Raw genomic sequence first — 17582 nt, forward strand, 5'->3', positions numbered from 1 at the left:
TGAGGGGATACAGTTGAGGGTCTCATGACATTTTCATATCACCTAAGTGCAATTTCATATTCCATGCACTCTCCGGGCAGGCAAGCCCATGATTTGAATCCCCACTCATAAGGCTAATGATTGCCAAATTTGGATCTTTCTCTGAGCTTCTCACCCAAACATCTAACCTCCCACCAAATAGTTCTTCTTGCTTTCCCTCAAGATAATCAAAATTGATATGTCCAAAGGGACTCACCAACTTCCCATGAACCTGCTCCTTCACTATGTTTCCTTTTCAATGAACAGCACCTGTCCATCCAGCTGCCTATACCTTGTCCCTGACATCTATCATTCCTTCATGTTCTCAATATGTCCCCAACCTTTTCTGTTCCCTGTCCTATAAATCTGAAATAGCCACATTTTTCCATCCTCTCACTCCTAATTCTGGCCAATATGATCTCTCACTCCTAATTCTGGCCAATATGATCTCCCATTGAACTACTATCATAAGCCTCCTATTTGGTCTCTCTGCATGCACTTTTTCTTCCTTCCGTTCAGTCCTCTATCCTCAAAGGGATATTTCAAAAACAAATATGATTGGCTCCTGTTTAAAGCACTTCAGTGGCTCTCTATCACCTTCAAGATAAAAATTCAAACTCTACAGAGTCTTGCAAGATCTTCAAGGTCTTGTCACTGGCCATATCTTCAAACTTTTCTATCACAAGTCTCAACTTAAAATGTGTTAGACAACTATTCTGAATTTTTCCCAAGACTTTTACTTTGTGCTTGCACCTTCCAGCCTCAGTTTGGGCTGCTATAACAGAGTACTATGACTGGGTGGCTTAAACAACAAATATTTCTTACAGTTCTGGAGGCTGGAAAGTCCAAGACCAAGGCACTGGAAGATTTGATGTTCGGTAAGGGCCACTTTCTGGTTCTCAATGTGCTCTCTGGGGTGTCTGTACCCTTGTCACTTAATTACCTCCCAAGGGCCCACCTCTAATGCCATTGTATTGGAGTTAGGATTTCAACATATGAATTCTGGGGAGGTGGAGGGATACAAACATTCAGCCCACAACACAGCCTTAATGTATCTGATTTATAATTCTAGACACACGATTCCTCCTTCCTGGCCAACTCCAAATTACTGTTCAGCCTCTACTTGGAGTCCCTATTCTCCTACCCTGCCTTTGTAACCCCCCAGGTCTGGATTTGGTACTGTTATACTGTAGTTTCTCAATACTCTGAACTTCCCCAGCAAATCATAACCATCAGGCTGTTTCGTATTTGTATGCTGACATATTTAACTCCCCCAAACTAAACTGACATCCACACAATGGGAAGAGACACATCTGCCTTTTTGTGGTTATATTCTCTGGGTTCAGCCCAGTACACAGCACAGTGAGTTCTCAAAAATACTTGTTAAATGAATGAATAAGTGAATGTTTTATACTAATGACTTTCCATCCTTAAAAGGTAGGGTAATATAAATAAGTATATTATCTGGTCCTTTAATAGTGGTTTTGGTAAAATAGCTATCTTTATACAATTTGGTTTATTGAGCTTCACTTTTAGAAAGGAGATGAAGGATTAAAACAACCCAAAAACTAAAAAGAGCTCTAACCTTAACTGTAGCTCCTGGGAAGAAAAGCCAGTTGCCTGTGTCCACTGGGTCGAGACTATCTTCTAAAACGACTTGTCTGTGAGCTGAATTGATGATCAAGATGTTATCTAAGGCCCAGCAGGCTTCATACACTTCACCTACACGAAGATTTTCCTGCTTCCACTGAAATTGGACATTCTCCCCTTTGGCGTCCTCAGGAAGGTAGAGGATATGGATGATTGTGCTGACATTGGAAGGGGCTCTGGAACATACAGAGAGATGGCAAGTTTAGCAATGCTGACTTTTTCTTTCTTAGAGATGAATTTTGTTTCTTAAGGTTGTAGTTTCATGATCTCAAGAATGTTATATTTATTACAGATAAAATAGCTACAATCTCATAGCCCTTAAATCTTTTAATATTTGCTGACTATTAAGATTTTCATATTGAATGATGACAGTTCAAGTATTAAATACCTACAAAAGGTTTACATGGAAAACAAGTCAGGCACTAAGTATGTTCAAATAAGTCAGTAAAGGAAAAATTAAAGAGAAAATGGCACACACTGCTATGGCTTGTGTAAAAAAATTACAAATCACAAAGTATATCCAGCACAATTTTTTGCACATGGTAAACATACAATCTAAAACAGGTTACCCAATAATAAGGATAAAAAATATAAAAGTGTGATTTTGTTTTTTTGAGACAGGGTCTTGCTCTGTCATATAGGCTGGAGTGCAGTGGCACTATCACAGATCACCGTAACCTTGAACTCCTGGCTCAAGTGATCCTCACTCCTCAGCATCTTGAGTAGCTAGGACTACAGGCATCCATCACCATGCCCAGCTAATTTTTATTTTTATTTTTGTTGAAATAGGTCTTGCTATGTTGCCTGGGCTGGTCTCAAACTCCTGGGCTCAAGTGATCCTTCTGCCTCAGCCTCCCAAAGTGTTGGGGCTGCTAGAGTGAGCCACCGTGCCTGGCAAAGCTGTGATCTTAATGTTGGTTTTTACTTTGAAATTATTCACCTATTACAAACCACTGTGTGCAATATGTTTAATAATCAATCTAAATTATTTTATTTCTACTAACCAGATGTTTTCATATGTTTAGTCTATATGAAATGTGAGATTTGCCATAATTAAATGCTCTCACTTATAATACCTCACAATTTCACATAGATCATCCTCAAAAACATGATATAACATGATTTTTTATATTACCTCTACTAGAATCCAGATCCTTCTGCTATATAATAAAATATTTTTATTAAACATTTTCTTCCACCAAAGTAGAAACCTGCTGTAGTAAAAATGATTGCCTTTGCTAAGATTAAAAGTGGTACTAAAATGCAAACTAGTGGTACACCCTGGGCTTGTCATAAATCAGTTTTGAAAGGACTAGAGAAGAGCCATATTTCTCACTCACCAATGAAGCACATATATATCCGTAAAATTGTCACCATAGGTTATAGATGGTGTACCTTACCTTTGGGGGTAATCAATTCTCTTTTCTTTTAAAATATTTCATGATGACTATGCTTTTAGCTTCAAAAAGAATTGAAATTGATGAAGAGAATATATTTAGGTAGTGATTGGGAGCACTTTCACTCTAACCTCCACTGGTAAGGGAAATTTGCATTGGTTTGGTACATGGCCTAAAACTGAAAGTACCATTTAGTGAAAAATAGATGGGTTCAGCTGAACACAATCTTTATATGTTCTAATTAAATATGTAGTTTCATTGTTCATCATATCAAAAACATGTAGCTGTTTTCCAGTAAGAAATATGTACCATAATTTACTTCAACTATGATATATAACATACTAGAAAGAGAAAAAAAATGGAGACATAGGTAAATTTTTCAGTATTTATGCTTCTTTGTTTAAAGCCATTTATAGAAATATTTAATATGAATGCATTTTCATAACTACTAGGAATTACAAAGAATAGCAAAATGTTCTGTTATAAAATTGTCACAGCTCAGCTTGTATCAGATGCCTATACATTACATTTTGTCCTGACACAGAGAGAGACAATCTATTAAAATCCATGAGTTAGAAACACTTTTCTCAGTTTTTGGTTAGACTAAAGATTTGTGAAGTTTTTATTTTATTATTATTATTTTTAAACACCACTACCAAAGAAACTTTAGACAAACTGGCTTAATATTATACTGACAGCCTAATATTTATTCTGCTACCCTAAATAATAGTTATTTTAATACAGAAATATAATAAAGAAAATAGCTAGTAGAAAAAAAGAGAGCTGTCACGAAACTGATAAGAAAATATTCTACTTAAGTTATGCTAATTTAAGAGCTAACCCAATCATAATAATCACTTTATAAAAGTTTAAGGCATTTTTTCCTTTAAATATCTTATACCTAAAATTAAGTATCCATTTAGAATTTTATTTCATGGTTTAAACTGTTCAGTAGTGGCAAACATAATTTGAGTTTTGCTAATCTAGCCAAATCTTTTTAACATGAATGAGTTTCTTCATCCTCAAGCATCCTACCTTATTTTCTTATTGAGGGATATTTTTTAATAAAGAAAATGTAATATGTAATTACAAGTCGCATCACAATTATGTTAATAGAATTTTAGAACTGGCCTTAGGGAAGTTAGAAAGGATGTGACAGAACTGGAGATTAGATGTAAAAGGCCCTGTGGCTATTAACTCAATATCATCACAGACTGGAAGGGATTTAAGTAGTCATCTGATGTATTTCCAGACCATAAGGCAGGCCAGAGTCAGGCCACCTAGAGCAATGGGTGGTGATATTATTTTGTGGAGAATGCTATCAAAAAAGCTATGATTGCAAATTTACTTTTACCAAAAATAGTTTGTTATAAGTACTGCTGATGGGAGGAAGTTCTGAATGGAAAATGACACTTTTAATAATATCTTCTCCGAGCAGGGCTGGTCATAATATGTGCATCCATAGAATTCAACATAATTAACAACCAGAGTCCTTTTTACCCTAAAGAAAAAGTTAGTGGTGGATTGAAGGCATATAGGAGAGTAGAACTCCATCTATGTCAGAATTTATGAAAATACTTTAAATTACAACAAACCTAATTTTCTCTAGCTGAATCCAGTCCGCAGAGTTATTCTTGGCATATAACACGATGATGCTGGGGTCTGAATAACTAAAGCGACATGAACCTGACCCTGTAAATAGCAATAACAATAAATTTCAAGGTTAAAAAATGGTGCAAATACATATTATCTTTTCTGATAAATATTTTAGATAATTTTTAAACTATTAGATATTTGTCTGGTAACTTCCCCATTCTTCTAATGATGCTGAAATCTCCTGTGATCTGTTCTGGTAACTACCATTTGATAAATAATCTTAGGAACCAGAAAAAAAGGTAAAAGAAATATAAATTGCAGATTTCTTTAGAGGTACATGAACTACTAAATTAAATTGTAAAACAAATACTTAGTGCTATGCCAAGAAATAACTAAATATTATGGGGTGACTTATAAGGTCATTATGGTTCTTGCAAGTTAGTATCAATTAGGAGTGATTATATTAAATGGTACATAAGTCATTACATTGAGGAATAAAAACACCATTATTTTTCTGTGTGTGTATTATCTAAATGATGAGACAGTACATGAGAAACTAAAATACTGTAAAGAAAATTCAAATACTAAATGAATGAGTACTCTTATGGATGTGATTGATATTACTCTCCCATAACCCAGCATTACAGATTTAAAATATAGATTATATCCCTTTGTGAATATTTGGTGATTATTTATCATTATTATTTTCAATAGTGGAAATACTAGCATCAAAGAAAAATTTTAAGCTGATAAGAATTTGTTTCTACATGTCGAATGAATTCATATAATAAAGCATAGTATGACTACAATTTCAAAGCTCTCAGAATGCCCAAAACAGCCCTGAAACATTTGCCAGAAGTTTATTGTAATGGATGTAGCAGAAATTTTTATACTATCTTTAAAATGAATGAACCAAAACAAAAAAAAATAGTGCAATTTATGTTTAACTTTCACCCATCTGATAGAGGAGCCTCAGTTTCAGCAAATGGCATCTGTTGACAATTTTACGTTTGTAGTGCTCAGGGGTTCCAAGCTTTAATCAGACTCATTTATTTTATTTCAGTGGTGTTTAGTACAAAACCAGTTAGTTTGTAATTGCCAGAACTGGCAATGTACTAAAAAGCCAAACAGCAGTTTTCCTAGATTTATTCTCACAGCCAAAATGTAAGTGAAAAAGCATGAAAGAAAAGGATATTCAAAGGAAAGCTACTGAGCAACCCTGATCTCAAATGGAAACCCACCTTATGCTACTTTAATTGTTGCTAAAACTCTACTTTTCATGAGCAGCTGCTTAAAATAAATATCAAACTGTGCGACTGGAAATGGTGACAGGCAGAATTATGTAGGACAAACTTCAATACAAACAAGAATGAGGTCTAGCAAAGAATCTGTGATTTAGAAGGAAAGTTCAAATTAGCCTCAAGAATTTAAATGTTACTCGTGTGCTTCCTTTATGTCTTACACACCATAACCACTTAAAAGCAAATGTATAAGGTAAATCTCTGAAAAAGGAAAGCATTCAACAAATGATAACCAAAAATATTCCTTACAGAATGCAATTTCTTGTGAATTGTTTACAAATTAAGAAGAGAGAAGGAAAGCTGATATACATCAAAATAAAAATGAGTCTAAATATGGCCTTGATGACAAATACGACTTCTCTTGTCTATTTTCTTATGCTACCATCTCAGCATCATGAGGTTAACTTTTTTATGCATCTAGAAAACAAAAACGCACCCAGCAGATGACTCACTTTTCCTCAGCCACTCACTCACATTTTCTTATATCTAAAACATTAGTTTTTGTTGAATGCATCTCTTCCTTGACATTGTCAAGGGACCCTCACTGGCTCTTGCCAGATCTCTGCAATAGTGATTAGTCAGTCTCCCTGTCCCAGCCTCACCGGTTCTCACCCAGCTAGTGTTGCCAGTGCTCTTTCTGCAAGTCAACGGAATCATGTTACCTCTGTGCTTATAACAATTCCTCAGTCCTTTGAGGAAAAAGCTGCACTTCCATCCCCAGTAGGCTAAAGGTGTACAGTTCCTACAGATCAAATGTGTACCCTGAGAAACAGAACTGGCCCAGGGTTATCTTGAAGCATTCATCATAAAAAGATGACCAAAAAGGCAAGGGGATTCCAACAGAGGGGTGGACAACTGGAAGACCATGATTGGAGCTCAGGATATGAGTGGTCAGTCAGTGGAGAGGCACTGCCCATGCCAGAGGAACTGAGGTGGAAGGTACCAGCTGGAAGGAGCACCCCCCAAGAGAGCGCTCAGCTTTGGAAATCTGCCTCACTCAGAGGCCACTCCCACCAGATTACCCTTCCAAACATACCAGACCAGTGATAAATGATTCCCTACTCCCGCCCGGTGTAGCTGTATGTATAACTAGGTAAGCTTTTTCTTCACACAAACCCTCCAAATTGCAATCCCACTATCCCATAGACTTTGGTCAGCAGAATAAGCTCTGTTCTTGCCCAGATGGAAATGGCTCCTTGATTCTGCCTAGGGTAAGATGAGGAAAGAGTTAGTCATTGTTCACCCCTTTGTCATGTGCCCAGGTGCTTAATGTCACTCCTGGCTCCCTGTACCCAGACACTGTGACACCTCTCAAGGTACCTTCTTAGGGAGTGAGGAGGGAATGCTAAGTAGGCACCACCTGTAACAGGCACTTCTTTACTTTCTCTCTTAAATCAGAGATATTTAATTGCCAAAGTTGAAATTTAAAACCAGAAAGGAAGGACAATTTCAAATGTCAAATGCAAAATATCATCTTACTTGCCTGTTCGTTTCCTTCCTTCAGGTCACTTCCAATGTAATCCTTCACTCTGAGGCAGCAATTTTTTAAGGATTTAAGCAGTTGTTGAAGGAGGAAAGGTAATGGAGAACTTTGGCTATTAAGGTATGGTCTGAGAGGCACTGATGAACTTAAACTGGTCTAAAAATGCAAGCACTTTCTTTTGTTCTTTCAGGCAAATGAGGAAAGCCCATATACTTCATTTTTACCCACAACAAGGGTAAAAGTGACTAAGGGTTTCTAAGGTTTGGTAGTCATAAACAAAATTAGCAAACATCCTGGATTTACTGAGGAGCCCACACAGTCAAAGAAATCTGGCCCCCATACACTGATGTGCACAGAATACTTCTATGCCCCCAGTTTGGGAGAAGAAATGATGTTTTTTGTGAAAGGTAGTTGGTTCCAGTGGTCTTGGTTATCAATTCTTGATTTTAAATTGACAAATAAGTTGGTAAATGATAAAGATAAACCTAGTCATAGCAACTGTCACACTATCACGTTGTTTACTCAACCCCATAATATATAAGGCAAATTGTTACCAATTATGCCTATGAATTTGTCATTTTAATAACTTCCTTTGTATGATCAAGTATAAAAATTCTGGCTTTTAAAAAATTTCTAGCATTTTAATGTAAAATCCTATGTATACGTTCATTCTTATTAGGTTAACAATGTAAAACATGTAATTACAAAAAAATAGGAACACAGATTATAATGCCCTCATCTTTCACCACAAATCCACACGTACCATCCTGCCAGTGTTTTCTGTCATCCTCCTCTTACAGTGGATGAAATATTTCTGTTATAATCAAAGGTTAATTTCCTCATGTGGTCTATCTAGATCCCACCTCCCCTTGCTTCTGAAGAGTCCTCCACTCTTCCTCCTGTATCATCAATTTCTCACAGTGATTTTCCTGGATAATGTCTATTATCTTACAAACATCTACCAATGCACAACTCATCTCCTATCTAAAAAAAAAAAAACTTTCTCGATGTCACACCCCCACCTTCTGCTCCTTCCCTTCCTATTTTTGCTCCCTTTTTGGGCAAAACTTCTCCAAGGGGTTGGCTGTCCAGTGATTGCCTCCACTTTCTCACAATCTATTTTCTTTTCCCCACTCCATCCAGGCTTCTACTCTCAAGCACTCAGTTGAAACCACTCTTGGCTAGTTCCCAGGTCATTGGGGAGTTCATGTTGCCAAATCAACAGATTGCTTTCCCAAATTCAGGTTATGTGACTTTGCAGCAGGATTTGTCAAGGCTGATCCGATATTTCTGGGATGTTCTCTTCTCTTCACTTCCACCACCCTCTTGATTTTTCTCCTGCTTCACTGGCCATTGCTTCTGAGCCTCCTTTGTGGCCCTTTTCCTCTTACTCTCAAATATTTTTATTAATTTCATTTTTAATTTATAATAATTGCACATATTTATGGGGTACAGTTTGCTGTTATAATATATGTATACATTCCAGAATGATTAGATCAGCCAATTAACATATCCATCACCTCACATACTTCATTCATAACTCCTAAATGGGCATATCAATCTTAGTAAGTCAAAATTAGAAGTATTGATTTTCCAGCAACCAAATATTCTGTGTGTCTTTTCATTTCGAATGACACCACCCCAAATACAAACAAACAAACAAAAAAACCTAAAACACTTTCGTGTTTAGGAAGAAATATAATAAAATCGTAACCTTACAGAAAAATGGTTCTCTAATTTGTACTATGATGAAGTAATGAGAAAAATCTGATAGTAGGTGTATCTTATAATTTATCACCTAGCCTTAAACAGATCATACTTAATTTTTCTTATTTGAGAGAAGTCTACATGATAATGAATTCAATGCTTATTAGCACTAATAACAATTATACATAATTTTGTACTCCACTTTTTAGAGTAAAATTGCCTCTGATATAAGATATCTTCCAGAGAGGTATTACGTGTAGGGTTACGAGAATGGATAGAGGGGACAGGCTGCCAGGGTTACAATTTGAGCTTTGACACTTCTAAACTGTGTGGCCTTTGAAACTTCAAAGCTGTGTGGCCTTGGGCAAGTCACTTACGCTTTCTGTGTCCTAACTTCCACACTTGTAAAATGTGAAAAATGACAGCAACTGCTTCACAGAACTGTTGTAAAGATTAAGGCATTAACACAAGAAAAGTACCTAGACAACAGTTATTGGTGCATTCTATTTAATGAACTTTAGCTATGATTGAATATTTTAAAATTTCATTTCATAAATTTATTTATCCCAGAAAAAGGAGGTAATGCCTGATCGTATTTGTTCATGGGCTAAATTTTAAATTCATTACTGCTTACTAAAGAACTTACAGTACATTTTTCCTCTATACTTTCTTTTACTTTGGGCTATTTCCCTACTCTTTACTGGACATGCTATAAATTCAATAACGATATGAAAACCAAGATCTAACTGAGTAGCCCACCTATTTGTTAGCATCATTGGTAAATATGCTAGTAGGGAAAGAGAAGAATCTCCTTTCACTTGTTAAAAAAAAAAAAGGAGCTGCTCTGAGAGCAGGCTAGTAAGACAGATTAGGATAAAGAGATACACTTCATAAGGTCTATACAATTGCTAGAGTGGAGTTAGAAATTTAATTGTGCAGTTCCAAGCATTCAAAGAAACCAGAAAATCTGATTAGTTAGAAATTTAATAGCACCCATCCAAAAAAAAATTTCCAGCAACTCAAGAGAACAATTATAGGGGTTATGAACAGATAGGCCCTGCTATTAGTAGGCGTTTCTACTTTACAAGTAAGGAAACTAAGGTAAAGAAGTTAAAAATTTCACCCAAGGACACCTACTAACAAATGAGATACAGAATGGAGTAGATATAAACCCATGCTTTCGACTTCTTCACTATACTTCTCCTGGTGTACAAAACACCCTTTCTTCTTGTTTCTTTATCTTTTTTTTTTCAATAGTGCTACATTTTCAAAGGGTACATGAACATATTAGGATGGGTCTATGTGCTGCTGCTTCTACTCAGGCTCATGACTCAAGGCCATAATGGTCTTGTTTTTGATAAAGAGAGAAAAACCAAAAGGACTAAACCTTTAACCCCCCTGCTAGTCATCATCTCAACTCTCTCTCAGGTTTTACTATGGGAGAAGATCACAGAACAACTGAACCAAGAAGAAATATCATGTGTACTTGGGCATCACTTTCTCTGCACATTCCCTGACCATTCCTCTCCTTTCTCTGCCCTCATAGCCTGTCACCCAAACCTGTAGACCCTCCTCCTGCTCATTTGTTTATAGACAGGGGTCTCACTGTGTTGCACAGGCTAGAGTGCAGTGGTGGGATCAGAGTTCATGTAGCCTCAAATTCCTGGGCTCAAGAGATCCTCTCACCCCAGCCTTCCAAGTAGTTGGGACTACAAGTGTGAGCCACCATACCAAGACTTACATATTTATTAAATTTATACCCGTTTTTTCCCTTCACCACCACCTCCTTAGATCATCTTTCACCCAGATCAATGTGAGACCCTCCTAACTGGGCGCTCAAAAGAAATACACAAAGATTAACCTTCTAAAGAATTTATTATGTATTTGCTTAAAAAAAAAGAAACTATGGAAAGGCACTATAAAGAGAGCTAAAAAAGTTGCATTCCAAGAAAAGTAATATCCCAACATTTCCCAACTCAATTATGTGAAAAGTGTTAACCTGATATAATACTGCAATCATAAATTTAAGATACACATGTAATTCATATTTGCTTCCTAAATAACACATTCCATGATGGCTTGCAAATCTATTTCTTTCTTTTCTTTTTTTTTTTTTGAGATGGAGTCTCGCTCTGTCGCCAGGCTGGAGTGCAATGGCGCGATCTCGGCTCACTGCAATCTTTGCTTCATGGGTTCAAGCAATTCTCCTGCCTCAGCCTCCTGAGTAGCTAGGACTACAGGTGTGTGCTACCACATCCAGCTAATTTTTGTATTCTTAGTAGAGACGGGGTTTCACCATGTTGGCCAGGATGGTCTCGATCTCTTGACCTTGTGTTCCACCCACCTCAGCCTCCCAAAGTGTTGGGATTACAGGCACGAGCCACCACGCCCGGCTGCAAATCTATTTCTTTTTTTACAAAAATTTGGCCTCTCAGATAAGCAAAACAAACAAAAAAACTATTTCTAAAGTTACAATTTTACCATAAAGAAACAAATAATATTTACCAGTGTAAAACAGTACCCTGTACTTGTTATTTAAAAATGATGGAATAAAAAGAATGACAGCTATTTCTATACAGTTGCTTCCTTTTAATGTTGGAGAGATTCATCAGTATAATTCTAACAAATATTTTATTGTAAACTTGGTCTGATCTAGGAACTACTTTACCTAATCTAAAATTACAACTGAAATAGGTATCCACTTTTACTCTGGTTCTATTTAAATAGTACTATCCCTGGTATCATTTAGAAAAAATAGACAAGTAACTTCCCACTTTTGTCATAGGAAGCCAGACCAAGATGATGAAATAATCAATCAATTCATCAATGAGTCGACCAACTATTAAAAGTATCTCTTATGTTAGAGGTACATGTGAACTCAAAAGCCTAGTTGCTGTCTTGTGATTCAGACTCATTTCTTTTAACCTCAGCTGTCATTCAGAAAAAAAAGTAGGAAAAACAGACCTCCCAACAGCCTTTCTCACTTAAGAAGTAAAACATCATTTAATACTGACATTTACATAAGGGCTGTTGTGGTCACCCAAACACCAGTGGGTATGACTCTTTTTTTTTTTTTTTTTGAGACGGAGTCTTGCTGTGTCTCCCAGGTTGGACTGCAGTGGCGCGATCTCGGCTCACTGCAAGATCCGCCTCCCGGGTTCATGCCATTCTCCTGCCTCAGCCTCCCAAGTAGCTGGGACTACAGGCGCCCGCCAACACGCCCGGCTAATTTTTTGTATTTTTAGTAGAAACGGGGTTTCACCGTGTTAGCCAAGATGGTCTCGATCTCCTGACCTCGTGATCCGCCCGTCTTGGCCTCCCAAAGTGCTAGGATTACAGGGTATGACTCTTAACGCTGGTTAGTCCTTCTGCTGGGTTAACTCTCTTACACGATTCGGGCCTCTGTTTAATGGTCACGCCCCTCAGAGGCCTTACCCTGGCCACCTCTAATAAAATGCTAACCCCGTCACTCGTTGACCTCCGATTTAATTTTCTCATTGCATTTATTACTCCCTGACATGTCCATTTATTTGACAGTTGCCTCCTCTCACCAGAATGTTGGCCCCTCCAGAGCAAAGATTTTGTTTCACAAATTCTAAGTGCCTTGAGAGCTGCTTCACACAGAAGAGGAGCTCAATGAACACTTGAATGAATGAAGGCAATAAAGCCCTTCCGAGACTCATCAGTTAAACTCCAGGAAGAGTGTCTTTTGGAAATACAATAATACTATTATTATTATTAGCTTTTCTGTAGTATCTATTTTCAGCAGGATAGGGAGATGGGGTGATTTATAGCCCCTGTCCACTATTATACACACTGATGCTCTTCTAGGAAGAGCCAGAAGGACAGCATCTCAGGGTGGCACCAAGTATTATCTGGGTAACAACATCACATGGTTCTGCCAATGCTACATTTCTGTTCCTCTGTTTAATATCTTTCCCTGGTGACAAAATAAGCTACAAGTATAAATTACAATTGGTTAAAGATATGGCGACTGCTTTAATATTTCTTGTAAGGGCTGCCTTAACTGAAACAGAAAACATAATAACCATGTTTTTAGCCAAACTAAATTCCTGCTTAACTCATGGTTCATTGTTGTTACCCAGTTCTAGGACTTAGGACCACAGTGGTAAGACATTTAAGAGATCACAAAGATGAACATGCTTACTTGTGAAGGGCCCAGGCAGCCTCTACTACTACCCATGGTTATGTGGGGAGTTCAACTGGCAGAGAAAGGACTATATGACTTGACTCCCAAATCAGTGCTCTTTTCCCTCTGCCCATTTATACCAACAGTAAAAGTTGTTTGTCAGTATATATGAGTCATAAACTGATGTGCATATGCTGTAGAATATTCCAAATATAAAAAAATAAATCCATGGCTTAAAATATCTACATTAAATAAAAAATATTGTTTTGCATTAATGATTATTTCTTATTGAGAATCAGAACAGTAGCTATAGCAGTATATAGAAATCTCTATGGTCCCTATAAGACAAGGCAAAAGCAATAGAACATCAAATAAAGGGAAGATAAGATGTAATCAGAATTTGAAAGGGAAAGTTGAGGCAACTTGCAGGGGGATAAGAAAGAAGGAAGTGTCAATAAGACAAATGTCAGAATGTGAACGTATATTTATCAATGTAACAAATCTAAGTGTAATGTTCAATTCCAACATGTTTGTCATAGACAGAAGAGGATTTACCATGAAGCTGATGAAGCTTCGGCTTCATGGCCCTCACTTTGGTTAGCACTGTCTAAGGTCCTGGGAGAGGCTCTAGCAATATAGTCTGATGGCCATATTTTATAACACTTGCAGTTGGTTAAGATCCTGTCTCCATTTGGACTACTCCTTCATCACGTTGCCCCTCATGTCAGGAGGTGTCAGAGTGGACCTAACTGCTTTTGGGATTCTGCTAAGAAGAAGCTGAGTTGGAAATACATTTATTTTGGGTTAGTGTGATACAGCTACGTAGTTTACTTTCCATTTTGTAGTCTAGTCATTCTCAATATAAAAACAGCTTCCAGGAACTCCTACACCCACAGTGCTGATGCATCCAGCATCATGACTAAAAGATAATGATGATACACTATTTAATGAGTGATGTCAATTCAGAGATCAGCTAAGATTAGTCACTATACAAGGGAAGTTGAAATGTCCTCAAATATAAATAAGAGAGAGGTTTTCCAATTCTATAGTGATTCTAAAAATCTAAATGACATGATCAATAAGGAGTTGCAAAGGCAAATATTAAGCATCAACTCTGATCTAACAAGCTAGAGGCAGAATACCCTTTCTATTATTTCCAGAAAATATTACAGAATTGTTGTCACAGGAAAGGTGATTTGAGAGTACATGGCCAGCCGGGCGTGGTGGCTCATGCCTGTAATCCCAGCACTTTGGGAGGCTGAGGTTGGTGGATCACGATGTCAAGAAATTGAGACCATCCTGGCCAACATGGTGAAACCCCGTCTCAACTAAAAATAAAAAAATTAGCTGGGTGTGGTGGCCCATGCCTATAGTCCCAGCTACTCAGGAGGCTGAGGCAGGAGAATCGCTTGAACCCAGGAGGCAAAGGTTGCAGTGAGCCGAGAGCACGCCACTGTACTCCAGCCTGGCAACAGAGCGAGACTCCGTCTCAAAAAAAAATTTTTTTAAATAAATAAATAAATAGAAAGAGTACACAGCCAAAAAGATATAAGGAAAAAAGTACTATAGAACATTTCAGGGAGTTAACAAAAATGTTGTATTTCTTGATTTTGTGATGTTTGTGGTACAGTCAATTTTGAACAATTTGTAATTTGTTTTTATTTCTTTTTGCATTCTAAATAAATTTTCACATTTGTACCTAATTTGGAATGTGTAACTTTGTATGTTTTTTCCTTAGAGAGAGACCCTAACCCTCACCCAAGTGGTATAAGCTTCAAAGGTGGACCCACACAACTCAGACCCACCTCTGTACAGAGCTTGCACTGCACTACATTCCTACATTTCAAAAATGTCTTAAATCACAGGTCCCAGAGCAAGGGAATCCAGAATACAAAATTCATTTTCCACTTTGCTTAGCACGGCACAATCAAATGTATTTAATGACAGGACAAGAATAAAGAGAGAATAAGACTTTGAAATTTTTGAAATTCTTTTCTTCTCTTAAGGCAGGTTTGACTCAATTAAAATATTTATATATGGAAATGAATCACAGTACAACTAGATTAGAATCGATGAAATGACTTTTAAGCTATATTTACACACACAAAAAAGCTATTTTTTTAAAGGCAGGGTATTGCTCTGTTGCCCAGGCTGGAGTGCAGTGGTATGATCACAGCTCACTGCAGGCTCAACCTCCTGGGCTCAAGGAATCCTCTCGCCTCAGCCTCCCAAGTAGCTGGGATTGCAGGCACCCGCCACCAAACCTGGCTAATTTTTTTGTATTTTTTGTAGAGACAGGGTTTCACCATGTTGCCCAGGATCGTCTCAAACTCCTGGGCTCAAGTGATCCACCTGCCTTGGCCTCTCAAAATGCTGGGATTACAGGTGTGAGCCACCACAGCTGACCTGCTATTCATTTTTGACTGTGTTGTCAAAATGAAGCCTACATTGACCCTCATAGACCTCATTAAACCTCAGGGACTCAAGCCAGAGAGAACCAGAAACTTCCAAGGCTTGCTAACTGGAATGTTTCTGTGCTATGCCGGCCTGGAGAATCCTAAAGAGCTTTTAGACTTTATAATCTCAAGAATACACAAGCACACGAACCTGCAGCAATTATACATTAATCAAATGCAATCCATATTAAGTATATCAAAATTCTGCTCATTGTGCAGTAGCCTATTTACCGTAATATACATGTAATGCATACAGAGCCAGGAAGTTTCTGAAATTCACAAATAAACTTTGTCTGTTCTTTCCATCCCTCTTGAGTAGTTGGCATAACAAACAGTATAAAGAATAGCGTGATTTGATATAAAATCAAAGCCACTTAAAAATACAAATATTAGTAATCCTACTGAAAATTAAAGAGTTACTTCCTCCCTTGGAATAACAGCCATATAGGTCCATAATCCCTTGAGGTTAGATGAATTCTATAATTCAAATAACTTAATTAACTTATAGATTTCCAAAAGGTAATATGGTGCATATGCCATGCCTAGAGCAGCACTCTATAATCCAACACATTAATACTTCTGCAGTGAAATGCATGATAATTCACATAAGTAACAGAAATAATGATCATAAATAGCTTCAAATCCTTTCAACTCAGGTCTTGCTGCCAAATGAATTCAGCTCATGTCAAACTTTGCCACCACATACATTTTATAAAAACTGGCTTGTGATATCTCCATGTTTTTTGTAATATGAAATTACAGATTAGGGATTGTGAGTCTGTATCTTCAAGAATTTCATCTATTTTGTTTTACTTTTATACAAGGATCAATCAATTGGTGTTTAGTCTCTCAAGTCCTGGGTAGTTTTGGGTAGTTTTTTTTTTATTTGGTTATATCATTCCCCATCAATCCCAGGACTTTTCAAAGTAAATCACAGTAGAATGCAATAGAAGAAGCTACTGTTATCTTGGGGATTGGTAGTGGTTGCTGGGAGCAGCCTCTTTCCCCAAAGCTCTGCCTTAAAAATGAGCTGCCTTTTCAAATGCAGCACAGGGCCACAGAAGGAGAGAATTGATCTCACAGAATTTATAGATGGGGAAAATCACTGCCAGAAATCACGCCTCTAGATAGCATAGTGGGACCCATAAATACTGAAGGCTTGAGGAGTGTCTGGACAGAACCTTATTGAGGATTCCTGCAGCGCGAGTGCTGCCACTGCCATTACTCAAAACTCAGACCTCAGAGACGAGCACAGCTCTAGGAGCTGCATGTAAACAACAGCATTTGGTATAGAAAGATCATAAAGTTATAGAATGGATGCATTCTGGCTACTCAGAACTCCCTGCTACAAACTAGAGCAACTCTTAGCAGGATCAGCCCATTCTTTCATCTTTTCTAGATAGATTAATGGAGAACAGGACCATTAACTTGAGGTTGCAGTGAGTGGAAAGAGAGATAGAGATGAATGGACAAATTTTAGGGAGCTTTTAAAAAGCTAGAAGCTGTTACTCTCAGGGGATATTACATGTTACTCTAGGCTAGGGCATTCAGGAGCATTCAAGAAACAGGCTTGCCTCATTCTACACTGAAATGTGAAAAATGTGATGAGCAACATGAAGATATTGGTATAATAAGCAGTTCTGGCATTTATCCTTTTTTTTTTTTTTTGAAGGTAAGAGTGAATTTTGAGGTCAGTATTATTCACTAGGGAGAAAATACTCTTACTCTACCTCCCCAAAATTAAGAAACACAGTAAAATCTTCTTTGCTACTTTGCAATTCTTTTTCAAATAATTCTGTCTCAGATAAGACCATTATTATCCAG

General features: G+C 37.3%; 1 protein-coding gene across 2 annotated transcripts in view; it reads right to left on the bottom strand.

Annotated features, from left to right (window-relative positions):
- The window catches only part of RELN (reelin), a 517870-nt gene that overhangs the window by 224461 nt on the left and 275827 nt on the right, over nucleotides 1-17582 (bottom strand). For both annotated transcript variants that reach the window (NM_173054.3, NM_005045.4), the window contains exons 9-10: nucleotides 4661-4757; nucleotides 1604-1844 (exon numbers count right to left, since the gene is read on the bottom strand). In NM_173054.3, coding sequence (NP_774959.1) covers nucleotides 1604-1844; nucleotides 4661-4757 — 338 coding nt within the window. The remainder of the gene's footprint in view (nucleotides 1-1603; nucleotides 1845-4660; nucleotides 4758-17582) is intronic.

This window comes from Homo sapiens, chromosome 7 (assembly GCF_000001405.40).
Source record: "Homo sapiens chromosome 7, GRCh38.p14 Primary Assembly".
Taxonomy (NCBI): Eukaryota; Metazoa; Chordata; class Mammalia; order Primates; family Hominidae; genus Homo; species Homo sapiens.